Consider the following 19,434-nt stretch of genomic DNA (forward strand, 5'->3'; position numbering starts at 1 on the left):
CACCAAGGCACCTCACAATCTGTTAGACTCCTTATTAGAACAAAGTGCAGCCTGTTTCCATCAGATCACTTAAGGAAAAAAAAAGGAATTGCCTTTAAAAATACTAATTGACTAGGGGGAGGTGGGGAAAATAAATGCTCCAAAGTTGCACTTAATTTTCATCACTAGGGTCATAGTAAGCCTCTAAACAAACAAAAATGCTGGAAGAAGATAAAAATATGAAATTATTGGGCTATAATTGTCATTATACATGACACAATCTTTCAAATACTATCTCAGGGGAAGTAACTATAAGTACCCTATCACAAGGTAGCACAAAACCACAAGAATTAGGAAGTCAAGAAAGAAGAGGGCAAAGTAGATCAGCTCTTGTAAAATAAAAGGAACCATATGAAGGCTAAAAAAGAAAATCAAGAATTTATATAGAAAAAATGGACCAGAAGTCAAGACTCCTGGTTCTGATCACATAACCTTGGGAAAGCTACCTAACTGTTCAGAGTCTATATATGCTACAGAATGGAGATGATACACATCCTGCCTGTCTCATAAGGCTTCTCTGCATATCAAATAGGGTCATATATGTTAAGGCACTATGAAAATTGTAAAACAGCACAAATGTAAGGTAATAGTATTATTGCTTACGTTGTCCCTCACCTTCTAAAGAGATTAAGTATGTGGTAGTTTAACGGGAAGCAAACTTTCCTCCCTATTAGTTAATGCCAAAGCTATTGGTCATTTTGAACTCCAGGGGAGGAAACAAAAACAAAAAACACCTAGCAAAGACAAGTCAACCCTCAATCTCTGGTCTCAGTTTTCTAATGAGAAATTCCTTTATATCTATTTCATCTTTTTCTCTAATATTCAAGAGACCAAACTAAAAGGCTCTTTTGTATTCTTACCTTTGGAAGCTTCAGGAGCAAAGTGCCAGGAGGGAGAAGGCATCCAATATTGGAAAGAAATGGAAGGAAGAAAAGGAATCACATATGGTTCTTGTTACTGTAGACAGTCACTCAGTCACCCAAACTGTTAAAGACTCTTTCCAACCCTTATTAATTATGTACTTAGAACTGGAAACTGCACCTTAAGGCAGTGCCAGAATCTGTTCAAAAGTATCAAAATGGGCCCAAATCAAGCTCTGTCACTTTAATCTCATATCCCTAACAAGTTATACTGATACAAAATACCTACATACAACAGTTCTCTTTCCCAAACCAAGTAACTCCATAATATTTAATACAAAAACATCTTTTCTTTCTTTTGAATGGGAAAATCCATCAGTCTTCCATCCAACATACCCTTTCTATCTTCACCCAGGGAAGGGAAGGGAATAGGAAACCTAATGAAAAAATATTCTAAGCCCTACACTGGACCTTTGCATCAAAGAGGAAGGTACTCACTCTTGGTCTGGGCAGAGAAGGTAAGGGTAAGTTTGGCGAAAAGTTCATTGTTCTCAAAGCGGTCCTCCTTCACCTTTGTCCAGAAGCAGTCCTGGGAGAGGTCCTCAGCCACAAGCTGTGGATAAAGGCAGGGTGTTAAGAATTAGTAAACTGAGCCCTGTACTTTCCGTCCTAGAAAACGGATGAGGCTGTAAAATAGGTGGCTGGCTGATTATCAGCAATGTCTTACTAGAATAAGACTAACTTGAGGCACAGAATAGCTGCAGTGGGATTAGGAGAGAATACTTCCAGTTCATCTGTTAATTGGTGATTATTCAAGAACTAGATTCATATATATACTACGTATCCTCCTCCTAACTCCAAATCCTCTAGCTTCATAACCATTAAGGCTTTATTTCAGAGAAGTCTTGCTCATCATTAAATTTCTCCCACCAGTTTGGCTAACTGTGCCAAATTTGCTCATTTTATGAGCAAATCCCTAAGGTCCTTTATATTAACTTGGTTTCTAGAAGAAAAAGGCTAACTCACTCAGAATCACAGGCATCTCAAACACATCATGGGAACAATACTGTGCATGCAAATATGGCCTATGTAGGCCAGGTGTGGTGGCTCACGTCTGTAATCCCAGCACTCTGGGAGGCCAAGGTGGGCGGATCACAAGGTCAGGAGTTCGAGAGCAGCCAGACCAACATGGTGAAACCCCATCTCTACTAAAAATACAAAAATTAGCCAGGCATGGTGGCACACGCCTGTAATCCTAGCTACTCAGGAGGCTGAGGTTGCAGTGAGCAGAGATTATGCCACTGCACTCCAGCCTGGGCAACAGAGCAAGACTCCAACTCAAAAAAAAAAAAAAAAATGGCCTGTGTAACTCACATCCTGCGGAATTGGGATAGGAGAGTGGATTCATAAATCCATGACTTTGGGATCAGCACAATTATCAGTAGTTTGCAGACTGGTGAATGACTATTATCAAACTGTGTGTTACCATGGTATTCACAGCCTCAGAGAAAAGGCAAAAAACATTAAGTTAAGATTAAATTCAGAATACAGGGTTCACAGAACTCTCCGTGGTGATGTATGGAATAAAGAAGATGCCTAATATCTCCTGAATAAACATAAGCATGAGTGAAGCTTAAAGATAGAAAGATGAAAGCCTTAAGGCGTAGCCCATCCATGCACAAAATACAAAGTAGAAAACTGAAACTGTTTCTTAAGATTGACTGGTGGGCCGGGCGCGGTGGCTCACGCCTGTAATCCCAGCACTTTGGGAGGCCGAGACGGGCGGATCACGAGGTCAGGAGATCGAGACCATCCTGGCTAACACGGTGAAATCCCGTCTCTACTAAAAATACAAAAATTAGCCGGGCGTGGTGGCGCGCGCCTATAGTCCCAGCTACACGGGAGGCTGAGGCAGGAGAATGGCGTGAACCCGGGAGGCGGAGCTTGCAGTGAGCCGAGATCGCACCACTGCACTCCAGCCTGGGCGACAGAGCGAAACTCCGTCTCAAAAAAAAAAAAAAAAAAAAAAGATTGACTGGTGAAGAAATAGACAGAAACTCTTACCTTGGACCAGTTTGGCCTCCGGAGCTGCACCTCTGGCTTATAAAGCTTTTTGGGGGTTAATCCAAATGGCAGAACTGGGGCTGCAGGAACTCCAAATCCAAATGGGGGAGGTGGAGGCATACCCATTCCGGGTGGAGGTGGAGGAATGCCAGGGCCTCCGGGAAATGGAGGAGGTGGAGGGATTCCAGGACCACCAGGAAGAGGGGGAGGAGGAGGTGGCATTCCTGCTTCTCCAGGCAAGGGAGGAGGTGGGGGGGGAATTCCAGCACTCCCAGGCAAAGGAGGTGGTGGTGGGGGGATTCTAGCACTCCCAGGCAAAGGAGGAGGTGGGGGGATGGCAGTACCTCCAGGCAAAGAAGAGGGTGAAGGGATGCCAACACCCTCAGGCAAAGGAGGGGGTGGAGGGATGGTAGCATCCCCAGACAAAGGAGGGGGTGGAGAGATAGCAGTACCTCCAGGTAAAGAAGGGGGTGAGGAGATGCAAACACCCCCAGGCAAAGGAGGTGGAGGAGGAGGAGGAGGAGGAGGAGGAGGAGGAGTGGTACTATCCCCAGGAGCAGGTGGTGGTGGAATAATAGTGCCAGAGTCACCAGGTAAAGGAGGGGCAGGGGGAACAGGAGCACGACTAGGAACAGAAGGAGGTACAGTAATAGCTGCCGCAGAGAGGGAAGCCATTTCTTTCTTGGCATCTTCCAGTTCCTTTGTCAGCTTGGCAACCTACAGAAATAACATCAATGTGAGTACTTCTCACCCCACTTCAGGGACTACTGGGACTGGAAGGAACCTAATAAACTACTTAATCCAAACTTCTCATGTTACAAATGGAGGAACTGAGAGGAGTCAGAGAGATGACATGATCACCTAAAGTCACACGGCTTGGCAGCAGAGCCAAAACTAGAATTCAGGTTTTCATGTTCTTAGTTCAGCATGCTTTGTATTAAGAAGACAATTTCAACCTTTATGTTAAACCCTCCCTTGATTAGAAAATGTAAAGGTCAAGTAAATTAAATGTTCTAGTTATATAACTAATATATGTGCTACACAGATGATTATATAACCACATAAGTAATCAAGTTATCAGACATCAAAGATCATTTAAGTATTTACTACTGCAGAGAGAGTGTGTAAGGATAAATCTGTGCAGAGGTGACTAAAATAACAGGAAATTAGTCAATTTTTAACAGTTTAGTTTTTATTCCTAATTTATTAGGAGACTTATTACTTTTATTTCTGGGTGGTAATGAAACTTACTTTATTCTTAATGTTTTTCTGTATTTTCCAGATTTTCTGTCTTATGTATTACTTACCCCCAACACAAACCAAAAACCAGTATATTATTTTTAAAATATGCACCATGTAACTAGATTACCTATTAGTAGCTGAACCCTCCCTAGGAGCGAGATGACTGACTCCTGTTCCAAGCCATGTGCATCCTGAGGTTACAGGTCATTCTGCCTTCCCTGCTCAGGCATTACCTCTCCTGTGAGCTGGGACACCTCTGCTTCCAGGTCCTGTTTCTCTGTGGCAATTTGCTGCTTTTCAGAATGCAGTGCATCTTTTTCTCCCTGAAGATCTTGAAGCTTCTGCTCAAAGTCACTTTCCATCTTTTTCATTTCCACCTGTAGCTCATGTCGGGCTGTTAACTCTGAGTCCAACTAGAGAAAAAACGAATCAGGCTCCCAGCAAGCTCTCCATCTCAGTAAGAAGCACAAGTATTATTACCCATAATTCTCCCTACCTCCTCTTTTGCCTGGGGGTGCTGGAATCCCCCCACTGCCTCCTGTTCTGGGCCAGTACTTGATTTACAGAGCTCATAAATCCAGGCCATGCTCGGGGGAAAAAAGCACCATGATTCTGACCTTAAAATCAAGGTTTGGCTGGGCGGAGTGGCTCACACCTGTAATCCCAGCACTTCGGGAGGCCGAGGCAGGTGGATCACCTGAGGTCAGAAGTTCGAGACCAACCTGTCCAACATGGTGAACCCTAGCCTCTACCAAAAATACAAAAATTAGCCGGGCATGGTGGTGGGCACCTGTAATCCCAGCTACTTGGGAGGCTGAGGCAGGAGAACTGCTTGAACCCAGGAGACAGAGGTTGCAGTGAGCCGAGATCGCGCCACTGCACTCCAGCCTGGATGACAGAGTGAGACTCCGTCTCAAAAAAAAAACAAATAAAAATAAAAATGAAAATAAAACAAGGTTAAAGGAGAGGGGAATCAGTTCATTTCCACAGATTCCCTATTTTTATAGTTAAAAAAAATAAGATTTTAAAGGTATTTAACGAGGACGACCATGGTAGTACAATCCCAATATTCTCTAGGATCAAAAACCTATTAACCACAATAAACGTTCTTAAAAACTGAAGAGAAAAAGAGAACTCAGACATCCTCTAGTTCTATTGCTCTAAGGACCCCAGTTCCTATTGTTCTAGGGGTAAGAGGCCTAAAATGCCAAGCAAACCTGAGAGTGCCATTACTATTACATGAGTATCATCTGTCTTTCTTTTCCTGCCCAGTAGCCCAAGAACTGAAAGTCCACCACTAGAGCTCCCTATGAAGACATCCATATCACTTTCTCCAATGACTACCCTATACTGGAAAGGTTTCCCCTGGGAACTACACTATTGGGTGCTAAACGCTTCCAAAATACCACAGAGGAAAACTGTCTCATAGATCAGGAAAATAATAATTCTCAAAGAAAGATATACTCAAACACATGTCTTTGGTCTCTCATATGCACCTTCTTTTCCAGCTCTGCAGCTTTGGCTTCAGATTTCTCCACCTTTGTCTTATCAATCATTTGATCTGAAAAGAAGAAGAGTCAGTAAGTAAAGCTCCTAATTCTCTTGTTCTATTTCTTTCACACTACACCCTTCCAAAGAACAGTCTTTTTGATCATTTTTATTATCTTTCTTAATGTTCTGCACTAGACAAAGAAATGGAACTTTCAGTTAAGTTCAACATGTAATCTGAGTGTGCGGTAAGGCCACCATGCTGGGTGGCAAGAAGAATGCCTATGAGTGATATTTTTGACTCTCTGAGACCACCAGGAGTTCCTGCAAAAGGTGCTGGTGTGTGTTTTATCTAAAAATAAACTAAAGACCTATAGATTCCTAGCAAAGATGCTGGTTATGACCTAAGAAAGGACAAAAATAGAACTATCTGGGGACTGGAAAGGTATCTTCTCTGACATTTTCACTGAAACAAGATGCAAAATGAAAGGAAGAAGCAATACTTGGAGGAGCCAGATAGAAGAGTATGCTTACCAATTAATCCCTCAATCTCAATCTGGAGGTGCCGGCACTTGAAGTCAGGATCAGCCCCGTTCTTGTGCAGAACTATCTGGGAAATACATTCTTCAATCAACTTATAGTACTGAGGTCTACAAGAGAATAAAAACAGGGTCATCAAAGGAAAATCAAAATATAATTTTCAGAAGTATTCAGGACCAAGAAAACGTAATTGCTCTGACAACTGAGAGACCTGGAAAAACTTTTGTAAAGTTAACACAAGTATTGCTGCCATGCTAAGAAAACTCCTTTTTCCACATCAGCTACCCTACCCTATCTACTTCAAATAATCAAAACTTCTTGCCATCCGCTCCTAGTGCCAATACTTTCCCATCTAAAAATTTGCGTTTGATCCTTCCTGTGATGGATAGTGCTATTGCTAAATCTATACTTCCAGGAAACTAGAAAGAATTTTAAATTGCCACTTCTGTTTGCTAACATCTTCATCCTATTTACCTACTCCCCTCCAAAAACAGAACGGCATTTCACCTTATACACTCTGACCTCTGCCATAGGGATGCCTTTGAGTTGGATTAAAGAAATAAGACAACTTCCTTTATATCGGTGACTAATGAACCCTAATCTTGGGTCTTTGTCTTTACATTTTCCTTTTACAGAACAATCTTTGAATTTAAGGAATTCACTCTCTCCACTTAGGCTCAAATTCAAAACTTCTCATAAGCACAGCATCTTACCTGGCCTCATAGTCATTTCGGACCAAGAGTAAGTGCTGCAGGATGGAAAGGAAGTGTGGCTCTGCCTTTGAATCCTTCACTGTGTTTAAGAGAATCTGAAAGACTTCATTAAAGTCAGTGGAAAAGGGAAATAGGCTAAGGAAAGCAAATATGCAGAAATTATGTTTGACAGGTGGCTTATTTAACTCTTGAAAAAGCTAGGGAAAAGTAGCAAGACACCACTTCCATTCTACTGGCTGTTCTTCCTGTAAACATCACCAGAAACTTTAAGCTTTCTAAAACGTCCTTTAAGGGACCAGTGAATTGGGTGGTACTATACACACAGAGGATTCCTAGTAAGTACTTGGCTTGAAGATCAGGCAGTAGACAGAAAATAAGAGGTAACTGCCTCAAAGTCACTTACTGAAAATATTAACAGGTAACTAAATTACTCCCTCTGTCAGTCCAAACATCTCTAAAAGCCAGTTCTACATCTTAGTAAGCTAAGCTATCACATTCTAGGAAGTTTACACTGATTTTGATGGCTTCCATGCTCAACAACCCTCAGATCACCTTTACTGACTTCCCTGATCTATGATAAGCTAAGTAAAGCCAGCGCAATAAAAATACACCTGCCTTATTTAATGAGAAGACACATAAGCCTGATGCTCTGTTCTGAGTCATCATCTCCCAAACCATTCCACACAGGGATCAGGGAACTAAATACAATGAATGTCTCATCTGCCTTGAACCTAGTCAGCAAAAGGATATTCCATCTCCATGCGAATGTCATCCAGCCGTCCCTTCAGGTCATAGGAATCCTCTTCCCCTTGTTCATCAAACACATTTAGTTGCACTCTCATATCTTCATTTTCAATCTCTCGAAGGTCCTGTCAACAACAAAAGTAGAAGTCAGGGAACCCAAAAGTATCCTCTGTGGTTAGAAACCTAAGCTTTTCAACCTGGTTTTTAATTGAAAACCAGAATTATCCCCGGGATTATTGGGGCTGTAGAGCAAGAAGGAACCAGTCTAGCCTTTCTAATGAAGTGTAATATCTTACCTGCAACACCTGATGTAGCCCCAAACGCATCAGTTCACTTCTGATGTGAACTCGGAAGTCAAGTTCCTCCGCTGGTGTGATGAGAGCATTGATCAGCTGTAGGCATCCAACCTAAAATAAGAAAATTCAGCAGCTATGTCAATGCTAACTCCTGGAGATCAAGAATCCATTTTCTTTACATGCATTCTTAGGTCCCCAATACAACCTGAAAGATACAATACAAAAACTCTAAAGATGACTTTTCTACTATAGCAATGAGACCTGGTTTGAGTACAGATCCGGAGAGCCTAAACTCTAAATGGTTTCAAGGATTTGAGAGTATATGTTATTGTAGGTCTTGGTTTTCCTAGATTGTAAATAGATATCATGCCTTTTTCCATCTCATAATGAGGAAAACAGTTCATTCTTTACCTTCTTAGAAAGAAGGTTAATCATTTTCCCTTCATAACAGATTCTGAAATGTAAAATATATAGTTGGGAGGCACTCCATGTATTTTATTAAAAGGTCAAATGAATTTAAGTCTGTCCATCTTGAATTCTATTCTTGGGCCCAGTTTCAGGGGATATACATGCCTTCAGTGCAATAGTGGTTCCACTTTTTAATCCATCCAGCAGCGGCTGGAAACGTTCCACTTCATCCATCTCAGCTCTTTCTGTCATTGCCTCCAAAACCCTTTCATTCCTGCCCAAGAGAAAGGAAACGGAGAGAACTTTCCAGGTACTGTGACACGGACACGTATAATGAGTAAATTACACAGGGGCACAGACCGATTAGGAAACAGGACATTATCAGTGTTCCGGATTTCTCACATTATTATTCTCACCACTCAGTTTCCAGAAACTGCTGAAAGCTAAGGACCATCTCTTCAGGGAAATGCATTCCCTACAATCCATCCCTAGGCTCCTGTCCATAAATACCAAATCAAGTCCCCTATTCAATGAAGTATAAATTGATACAACTTTTGGAGGGGCATTTAACAGTACTAATCAATTTCTCATGCATGTAACATATAGTCTACTTCTAGAAATGTATCCAACATATGGGCATAAATGTGAAAGAAGATATGCACAAGGATGTTCACTGCAGTATCATTTGTAAAAATGATCACCTAGAACAGATAGTGAAATCTGCTTTAAAAAATATCTGTAAGTTGGCTGGGCGCAGTGGCTCACGCTTGTAATCCTAGCACTTTGGGAGGCCGAGGCGGGCGGATCACAAGGTCAGGAGTTCGAGACCAGCCTGGCCAATAGGGAGAAACCCCATCTCTACTAAAAATACAAAAATTAGCCAGGCGTGGTGGCGGACTCCTGTAGTCCCAGCTACTCGGGAGGCTGAGGAAGGAGAATCGCTTGAACCTGGGAGGAGGAGTTTGCAGTGGGCCGAGATCGCGCCACTGCACTCCAGCCTGGGGAACAGAGCGAGCCTCCGTCTCAAAAAAAAAAAAGGAAAAAAAAAAAATCTGTAAGTCCAGCAACAGGGGAATTGTTAAATAAATTATAGGCCATACATACATGTATATGGAATACTAAATAGCTACTAAAGATAATAAGGTAGATCTGTAAGTACCGACATAGAAGAAATGTCCAAGATCTACTATTAAAAAGAAACAGGTTGAAAAGAATGATTTAGCTTTGGTTAAACCAAATCCCTCTTCAATAATAAAAATCTATCCTATATATGCAGTTAGTTTTATAGGCATAAGTGTCATTCCTCAGCTCTTAAGATACTATCTTTTGCGGTGGCAGATGTCTAGAATCAAGGGAACGCAATATGTTTGTCTATGCTTAGGAAACGTTCTATGAGACTATACCATGCCATTAACAGTCATTCTCTTTGCAGAATAGGATTTGGCAAAGGGATGAGGCAGTTAAATTTTACTTTATATACTTCTATATCGTTTGAGTTTTAAAAATAACATTGTGCCACTTCTGAATTAAAAAAAAAAAGAATAGTAAAAAGAAACCCTCATCCTAGACAATACAGATATTAATGGAGATATAGGAGACATTTTGCTATACCTCTGATGACCAGTGGAACATTCAGGATAGCACCCATCACTTAGGAATTGTTCTTAAATTTTAAGATGCTTAGTGTTCACTTCTGGGAAGAAACACAATCTTACCTAGTATTTATGACCGAGAGGACACCCAACCAACTCAATTGTCCTCTGAACTAAGAGAAAATGATAAAATTGAAAATGGAGAAGAAAAATTATTCCAGTCACATACATGTCCTCTGGCTGCGGTAGAATACAAAGAGCAGAAAGCAGCTTAGCTGCATCAATCATCATGTTGGGAACAGCAGGATCCATGGCTCTGACCAGCAGTAGGATTCCTTCTTCTGTCTCCAACATGGTCTTGATTCCAAACTGGTAGGACCAAGAACAAAGAAAGGAGGCTGAAAGACGAAAGCATCTAACTGGGGGACAAGTTTACGGGTTGTTATGGGTTGAATGGTGTCCTCTTAAATTCCAGTGTTGAAGTCCCAACCCCCAGTACCTCAAAATGTAACCTCATCTGGAAATATACTCATTGCAAATATAATTAGTCAAGCTACAATGAAGTCCTGCTGGGGTAGAAAGGGTCCTTAATCCAATATGACCAGTGTCCTTATAAAAAGAGGAAATTTGGATATGGATACATACAGAGGGAGAACACCATGTGATCACATAGGCAGAGATCAGGATGATGCATCTACAAGATAAGGAGTGCCAAGGATTGCCAACAAGCTACCAGAAACTAGGAGGGATATGGAACATATTACCATATACAGCTTCAGAAAGAACCAACCGTGCTGGTACCTTGGATTTTGAAATTCTAGCCTCTAGAATTGTGAGATAATAAATTTCTGTTAAGATATCTAATTTTGTGGTACACTAGCAAATTAATACAGGGGTAGAATACTTTTCCCAATATAATTAGAGATGAACATACCAAAATAATTTTCTAGGAGGCACAACAGAATTAGATGTCTTCCAAGAATAAAAGTCTTTGATTTATATGTTTCTTGTTAATTCTCTCCCCGCAATCCAATGGAATAAGTTAATTATAACAAAATTAAACAATGAGGAAGAGAGATTTGTCCTCAGAGGCACAGGACTGTGGGCTCACTAGGTTGAATTACTAAACAGACAAAAAGAAGATAAAAATGGAGCAACAGTCTAGAAGAAAAAAGAAACAGGAAATAAAGCAAATATTGCAGAGACAATAACTACAGGTCAGGAAATTCAAGAATTAGCAAAAGAAAGTAAAGAAACAGGCCGGGCGCTGTGGCTCATGCCTGTAATCCCAGCACTTTGGGAGGCCAAGGCGGGTGGATCACAAGGTCAGGAGATCGAGACCGTCCTGGCTAACATGGTAAAACCCCGTCTCTACTAAAAATAAAAATTAAAAAAAATACCCGGGCGTGGTGGCGGGTGCCTGTAGTCCCAGCTACTCGGGAGGCTGAGGCAGGAGAATGGCATGAATCCAGGATGTGGAGCTTGCAGTGAGCCGAGATCGAGCCACAGCACTCCAGCCTGGGCAACAGAGCGAGACTCCATCTCAAAAAAAAAAAAAAAAAAAAAAAAAAAAGAGAGAGAAACAAAATTGAGCCTGTCCTCTGAAACAGAAGTTAGAACTGAGAAAAAAATATCCACAGAAGCATGTATATGTGGCAATGAAAAACAGTTATGATACTAAAAGAGAAAGCTAGAAGTCCTGAACCTCATATTCCTAGTTCCTCTTTTGGTTTGCCAATAGAAGAGAAAGAACAGGCGTCCAGATGGGGTTTGGAATGAGAATGGGAAAAATCTCACCTTGTTGTTCATAAAAGCTTTCAAGCAGCGAATGATCTCATGCTTGTTCCGGCTATCGTAACTCCTGTATATAGAAGACATAATCAGTGAGGTCCCTTTATTCTCTACCCCTTTCCCATTTTTAATCTTGCAAACAAGGTTCTTAGGAACAACAGCCCCATCTAGCAGATGAGTAAATTTTAGGAAATAGCACCTTGCCCAGAACCACTGAAGAAAATAGATAACTGAAGAGGGATCTTCACCATCAACAAATCTGGCTGATCCTCTTGTAATCCAAGAATTTAGTATTATATTAAAATCTTCTTTTTAACTCTCCCTAGGCTCCTAAATGCTAAATTCTATCAGGATAACATCCCATCTATTGCTGCTTGCCTTGCTACTAGAGGTTTCAAGTCTGAGAAGATATATGTAGGTCTTGGCCATGTTATTATTTTGTTTCAGAAAGATTCCAGGAAGTACTCTGCTTCAGGTTGGCTTCAAGGTAGCCTAAGAGAGTCCAAGGTATACCTAAAATTATTCCAACCTTGAAGACTGTCACAATACTAGTCCCAAGTATATTATAAGACTTCCAAATGGATATTACCCAGACCAGATTACACAGCAGCACTAAATCAGATTTTATTTCCAGATTGAAAAAGAACCAGTGCTGGGAGACTAATATTCTGTGGTATGTATTGAACTTATCCAACATGAAATTTAAGTTCCTCCTCCCTTTCCTGTATCTATAATCATCATTCATCCTCTAGCCACCACTATGATAAACCCCTTCTTGGCTAACAGTACATTCCCCTAGCCCACAACTTTACATTTAACTGCTACTTTCTCCTTCAGAGCAAATAGCCAAGTCCCCTGTGACTCTCCAACTTGAAGTTGCAAAGACTTGGAAGTCCTCACCCAGCAGTCTCTTCTTTCTCATCATGAAGTCGTTTAAGAATGTCCAATAAGGAGGCCAAGCCTTCAGCACCAAATGTTTGCACCCAACTGTAAGGAACAGAGAGAGGCAATGCAATATCAAACCAATAAATACTTATTTGCCAAACAAAGTTTATCCTGACAACTTACTACTCCCAATTCAGACTATTCTCATGCTTCCCTGGCTCCTTTGATCTTCAATCACCACCAGTGAAGTCCAACATTTGGCTCCTACTCCTGTTACCTCCTCAGAATCCTCACCTGACAGGGTTGTTGTTGAGAGACACACGAAGGGACTCCAGGCAGCTGAGCAGAGGCATATCCCGCAAGCCTGACCTCAACTCCTGAATATACATCATGGCAGACTTAGAGCTCTCCTTCTGGCTCATGCCCTAGACAGAAGGCATAGACAGAGATTAGTAATGGTGGACCCAGTCATAAATTAAGGACTAGTATTAGTCAATAGAGTTTATACTTTATTTTTATTTTTTATTTTTAGCAGAGACAAGGTCTTACTACGTTGCCCAGGCTGATTTCAAACTCCTGGGCTCAAGTGATCCTTCTGCCTCAGCCTCCCAAAGTGCTCAGATTACAGGAGTAAGCCACCATGTCAGGCCACGTTTATCAGGGCAGATACCCATCTCACATACCACCAACATAAATGAGACTTAGAACTGCCTATCCCATTCCCTATATTTACATACTTCATGAAAATTTAACCAGGCAAAATGTATGTAAGAACGGTAACTAAATAAGACAGTAAAAAGTGAACAGGCTTATATAATGGAATGAAACAGAATTGATGCAGACATAAAATGTTACATAAAATTGGCAAAAAAAAAACAGGTCCAAGACAAGGGCACAGTCTCCCATGTCATGGGTACCTGTCCCAGGACTCACAGCCTTGGAGGTGTACAAGTATTGGGACACCATCTCCCTCTTGATGATGATGTCCTTCTCCCTCAAAGGTTGCTGTTTCTCCTCATTCAGGTTCATATCCAGCTAGGAGAGGGAGAAAAAAGAGAAAAAACAAAATTGCCTCAAATTCTTTACAAATTTTTAGTGTTTAATATTAGTATGCTTAGTGAAGAGTTGAGCATGTAAAATGCTTAAGTAAATAAATCTTTTTGATCCCTAGAAATTTAAGCTATTACAGCTGATGAAAATTCCTCAAAGATAAGTATAGTTAACATTTTAGTATAAATCTCTATAGACATATACACACTTTTTTTCTCTAAGAAAAATGGACTCAATATAAATGAAAGATTTATTTTGTATTATTGAAAGAAAACCACACACAATGCTTTCTGCATCAAGGATGGACCTTAAAAATCTCTTCAGACTGAAGCACTGGATGAATGGCATAATCTAAACACAAGCAAAATCAACAGCAACAAACTCTGCACCAACTCTAGGGCCTACAAACCCATTACCCCTGGTTAACTCAGTCCCTGTACAAACTCCTTTCCCACGAAGAAAGAACTGGAAACTCTATGATAAAGCAGAGGCCCCCTGACAGACATAATCTGATGTATGTTTGGGGAAAGGCTCTGCTTGATCTTTCTACATATATAACAACCATGTGTCCAAGCCTAGTACCTTGGTGTGCACAAATTTAGCCCTAATAATTCCAGAATGTTATTTGAATTGAGAAAAATATGGATGGGGGGATGTATTCTGTTTCTTCTGCAAGCAGCAAAATTAATCTGAAGTTTCTGTGACTTAATTCCTGGTGGGTTTTTTTTTTTTGAGACGGAGTCTCACTCTGTCACCCAGGCTGGAGTGCAATGGCACAATCTTGGCTCACTGCAACCTCCACCTCCCAGATTCAAGTGATTCTCCTGCCTCAGCCTCCTGGCAGTAGCTGGGATTACAGGCGCCCGCCACCACACTCAGCTAATTTTTGTATTTTTAGTAGAGACGGGGTTTCACCATCTTGGCCAGGCTGGTCTTGAACTGCTGACCTCGTGATCCACCCACCTCGGCCTCCCAAAGTGCTGGGATTACAGGTGTGAGCCACCACTGCCAGCCAGATGCATTTTTCCTCTTGCAGATAAACTGAACACAGAAGTTACAAAATGGTGGCCCTCAAGCTAAGTCAAACCCAAAGATAAAATGTTTCACTTGGCTAGCTCAACATTTTAAATCTGGGGGACCTTACATAAAGATACAGATCTCTAGTAAAACAGCACCAAAGGATTCATCCATCGAATTTCATGTTGTGGGAAACTCTACAGGTCAAACAAACGGTTTTTTCAACAATTTTTTTTTAGTATCAATAGTAAGGATAAAAGAAAAAGAGGTGCAGTGGCTCATGCCCGTAATCCCAGCACTTTGGGAGGCTGAGGTGGGTGGATCACAAGGTCAGGGGTTCGAGACTAGCCTGGCCAACATGATGAAACCCTATCTCTACTCAAGCTACAAAAATTAGCCGGGCATGGTGGTGTCCACCTGTAATCCCAGCTACTCAGGAGGCTGAGGCAGGAGAACTGCTCGAACCCAGAAGACGGAGGTTGCAAGTCTTGCTCTGCTTGCGACAGAGCAATACTCCATCTCAAAAAAAAGAGGAAGGGAAACCTATAGTTTAAATGAAAATTGAGAATACCAGTACAGTGGACTATATTTGGAATTGTGATTTGAACAAACTGGTTTTTAAAAAAATGACCTAATTGGGGAAATTCAAATAGTGACTAGGATATTTTATGTTATTCAAGATTTATTATTTTTTTAAAATTACGGATTGCTGACTTCTTTTGAAAAATAGAAATATCTGGCACTACTAGGCAAGTATTCCCAACTGGAATGCAACCACCTACTAGAACTGAGTTGTGGCTGGCTTTTCTAACAAAAATGCCAAAAGCCTCTCTTCAATTTGCCACATTCCCCACTTCTTTTGCCATCTTCTATCTAGCCTGCTTACCTTATTTATACTACCTGCCTGGCCCAAGAGACATTTAAACTTGCAATCCAAGGCCAAGAGATTATCTTGACAGACCATACTCTTAAGACTCTTAATGCACTTGGAATATTAAGAGACAAACTGAAAGATTCAGTGAAAAATAACAACAGTAGTACCAGTTGAGTGCTTACTATGTACCAGGCCCTGTGCTAAGGATTTTAAACCTAAGCTTTTAATTAAGCTAGGCCTGCCACTAGTCTCTATTTGAATCTGAGATCACATATCTATGCAATATACAGGTCTTAGGAAATCTTGTACTCATCAAAACTTTCCAAGACTTACCACTAATGGACACTCACTGAATATCCTCCTTATTCGGTGTTCCTCACTGAGGACAACAAAGTAAGTCACATGCACATATACTTTGTTACTTAGCTGACTTCAGACACAATCTTTAAAGGTCTTCTAGCAATTCTATGTATTTTCTTTCCAGATTCACCACTATACAGGACCTTGAGCAAATGATATTCCATCCTCAGTTTCTCCTTTATACAGAGTTTGTTGTGAATACCTCCACACTTTATCTGCTCTGGCTTAACCCAAAGGTGGTCTCCATATTACCAACTCTGGTACACAGGGTTAGATGGTCCACTACGTCTTTGTGGCTAAAGTGTTGCTGGGCAGAAGACCATGAACAAGACAGTGATCGGATGTTTCCAAGCACAGATTCCAATTTTATGAACTGGTATTTGTATATTTAGTCCCTAATTATGGGATTAAAGGGTTAATATTAAAAAGTTCCATGTTAAGCCTGGAATTCTTTGTAATAAAGGGCTAGTTGGGAATTATGCACCAAAAAGAGCCCACCATGTCCATAAATGCACAGGAAGAAGCAACATTTTGGGAATGGGAAACTTACCAGCATCTGTTCAAAGAGAACCAGCACTTGTTCATCTGAAACATCTTGCAATGACTGTGCTGTGGGATCATCCCCATATGATGCAGAAGAATTTCTATGAGCAGAATTGGGCTTTTCCTTCTCCTTCTTAATTCTCATGCTGGTAAATCTCTCCAGCTGAGAAACAGAAAAAAGCATTAGCAGTGATCCATTTTCACTTACATAACAAGCCACACATCAAATTCTTTACCCCTTTAACCTCTTACACAGGCATGGTTCCTCTGGTTCACAAGCAGTTCAAGACTCTTCTGACATGAAAAGAAGAAATCAGTCTTCCTCCTATCTAACTTACCATACTGACTCTGTACTCTCATCTATGTTCAAAGATAAGAGGACCAAAGTATTAAGATTTCAAACCTCTTTAAACTAGAAGAAACATTGTTCTTGATCTCCCCTGCCATTTCTAAGCCTTGTAGTAGTACGGAACTGAAAGCCTCTCATGACAGAGTTCTATCAATAAAATGCCCTTTGTTTCCTTCTAGCTACCCAACAATAAATGTTGCTAGGACCCCAGAGGATGTCTCCCTTCAAGAGGTATTACTACAGATTTTAATAGATACAAGCCAAATAGGATAAATTTGTCCTTAAAGTCAGGATTCATTCCTTTCTCTTTAATTTGTACACTCCAAAGCACTTGTGTAATGTAGGCAGCAAAAGTTCAATATATATTCTTCAAAATCCCCTTTGCATGACATCTCGTCAGCAAAGAATACAATGTACCTCAGGGGTATATATGCCATCTCTCTGCCAAACAAATGCTAACAAGCCATTCCTCAAATCTCAAATACTGATGCTCAAATCAACAAGAGTCACCAATAAGCAACAGCTTATCAGCTCTCCTTGTTTGAAAATAACAGTAATTATCTGTAAGTATTATAGGGCTTCAAGTGATATGAGTGGCATTCAGACTGCAAGTCAGCTTTGAGTTTAAAGAGCATGCCTAACTTCGGAAGATAATGAAGGTCCACGGAAATGCATGCAATGGGCCAAACACAGCAAAGAGTTAGGAAAAAAGCCTTGAGATACTGAGTAGAAGCCATATCACCACTATAAGTTACAGAAAGTCAAAGTTATGAAAACTGGTAAATATGATAGTGTAGGCAATGAGCTAGAACATGCACATGCTAAACAAAATGTCCTTACCTCATCTGCCATGAGCCGCTTCAGAGTCTAGGAAACAGGAAAAAGGAGGGAGAAGAAAGAAGAGAAATCAGTGAAGTACAAGGAAACCTCCCAAACACCAGACGGGTTGGGGAAAAGAGGGAGAGAAGTTGAAAGGATCCAAGCTACTTTCTGCAAGCTAATGATTTCTGTCAAAGTATTCCTTAGCACATTCCCTCAAGTAAGGGGCAGGAAGAGTTTGAAGGTCACTAACATATGACTCTTAAAAAGGAAAAAAAAAAAAAAAAAGAAGATGATGCAGAACTGAACAGAATCCGAATCTGATGACCGATACACTTATAAGATATGCTCAACTTCATAGTAAATGAGGCAATGCAAATTAAAACCACAGTGAGATATCAATTCACACTCCCAAGACTGGAAAAAACTTTCATGTCCGTCTAGTCACAGACCAACAGGAACTCTTGGTGGTACTATAGAATGCTATAGCCACTTTGGAAAACAGTAAGGCATTGTCCAGTAAAGTTAAAATATGCACATGTACTACAACGCAACACATCAATTTCTATGTTATCTACCCTGCTGAATTTTGCATATACGTAGTGGAATGTGTATACCAAGAGTGTTCATAGTAACACTATGACATGTAAAACAGAAAACAATGCAAATGGCCATCAAGAGTAGAACGGGTTTTCTGATCCGCCATCTGGATATATTGGAACCACCACCAAAACACAAATTTTCATAAAAATCCTTATGGGGGAGGCCATCACTCTTGAGGTTGAATCCTTGGATAAAACAGAAAATATAAAGGCCAACATCCAGGATAAGAAAGGAATTCCTCCTGACCAATAAAGACTGATCTTTGCTGGCAAGCAACTAGAAGGTAGATGTGCTTTGTCTGACTACAGCATTCAAAAGGAGTCCACTCTTCATCTTGAGACTTTGTGGTGGGGCTAAGAAAAAGAAGTTTTACACTACTCCCAAGAAGAATAAGCATGAGAAAGAAGGTGAAGCTGGCTGTCCTGAAATCCCATAAGGCCAATGAGAATGGCAAAAGTAGCCACCTTCGTTGGGAGTGCCCTTCAGATGGATGTAGTGTTACAGTGTTTATGGCCGGCTGGCCACTCTGACAGATATTATTGTGACAAAAGTTGTCTGATTTATTGCTTCAACAAACCAGAAGACAAATAATTGTGTATGAGTTAATGAAAGATGTGAACTAAAAGAGTAGCGTGGACAAATAAACTGGTATATTGGTACAAGGAAAGCAATTTCACAAAGAAAGTGAATGAACTTACAGCTATTCATAAATATAATATTGAATTATTATTTCATTTACATTCAGTTCAAAAACATGTAACACTGTATTATTTGGTATGTAAAATTATTATATAAAGGAAATAATCACCATAAATGTCAAAACAGTGGTTACTTGGGGTGGGTGGGGTGGGGTCGTGATTGGGGAAGGGGACAAAGCAGCTTCTGGGGTGTTTATGATATTCTGTATCTTGACATGGATCATATGACTGTCCAGTTTATAATTATTCTGTATGTTTTACATTCTCTTCTGTATACATGTTATACTTTACCCCTCCTGCCCCCCCAAAAAAGTCTGAATGAGCAAGTCTGGGAAAGTGTGAATTTTTCTTCATCCTGCCTAATTTTAAACAATATTTCTTTTTCATTAATGTCCTTAGACGAGTATAGTAAATCTTTTTTTTTTTTTAAAGAGACGGGGTCTCCCTGTGTTGCCCAGG

At 40.6% G+C, this 19,434-nt stretch overlaps 1 protein-coding gene and 1 pseudogene across 5 annotated transcripts in view; one reads left to right on the plus strand and one right to left on the minus strand.

Annotated features, from left to right (window-relative positions):
* DIAPH1 (diaphanous related formin 1) overlaps window positions 1–19,434 on the minus strand; it is a 103,980-nt gene that overhangs the window by 55,508 nt on the left and 29,038 nt on the right. For 3 of the 5 annotated variants that reach the window (NM_005219.5, NM_001314007.2, XM_047416885.1), the window contains exons 2-18: window positions 17,696–17,722; window positions 16,514–16,669; window positions 13,596–13,697; window positions 12,957–13,087; window positions 12,678–12,764; window positions 11,784–11,847; window positions 10,216–10,355; window positions 8,560–8,668; window positions 7,987–8,097; window positions 7,697–7,815; window positions 6,947–7,063; window positions 6,228–6,343; window positions 5,702–5,766; window positions 4,439–4,618; window positions 2,964–3,680; window positions 1,398–1,512; window positions 900–908 (exon numbers count right to left, since the gene is read on the minus strand). In NM_005219.5, coding sequence (NP_005210.3) covers window positions 900–908; window positions 1,398–1,512; window positions 2,964–3,680; window positions 4,439–4,618; window positions 5,702–5,766; window positions 6,228–6,343; window positions 6,947–7,063; window positions 7,697–7,815; window positions 7,987–8,097; window positions 8,560–8,668; window positions 10,216–10,355; window positions 11,784–11,847; window positions 12,678–12,764; window positions 12,957–13,087; window positions 13,596–13,697; window positions 16,514–16,669; window positions 17,696–17,722 — 2,365 coding nt within the window. Of the gene's footprint in view, window positions 1–899; window positions 909–1,397; window positions 1,513–2,963; window positions 3,681–4,438; window positions 4,619–5,701; window positions 5,767–6,227; window positions 6,344–6,946; window positions 7,064–7,696; window positions 7,816–7,986; window positions 8,098–8,559; window positions 8,669–10,215; window positions 10,356–11,783; window positions 11,848–12,677; window positions 12,765–12,956; window positions 13,088–13,595; window positions 13,698–16,513; window positions 16,670–16,758; window positions 17,635–17,695; window positions 17,723–19,434 lie in introns of those variants that run through there. The other 2 variants (XM_047416884.1, NM_001079812.3) reach the window with 2 other exon arrangements.
* On the plus strand, window positions 18,410–18,868 carry RPS27AP10 (RPS27A pseudogene 10; annotated as a pseudogene).

This window comes from Homo sapiens, chromosome 5 (assembly GCF_000001405.40).
Source record: "Homo sapiens chromosome 5, GRCh38.p14 Primary Assembly".
NCBI lineage: Eukaryota > Metazoa > Chordata > Mammalia > Primates > Hominidae > Homo > Homo sapiens.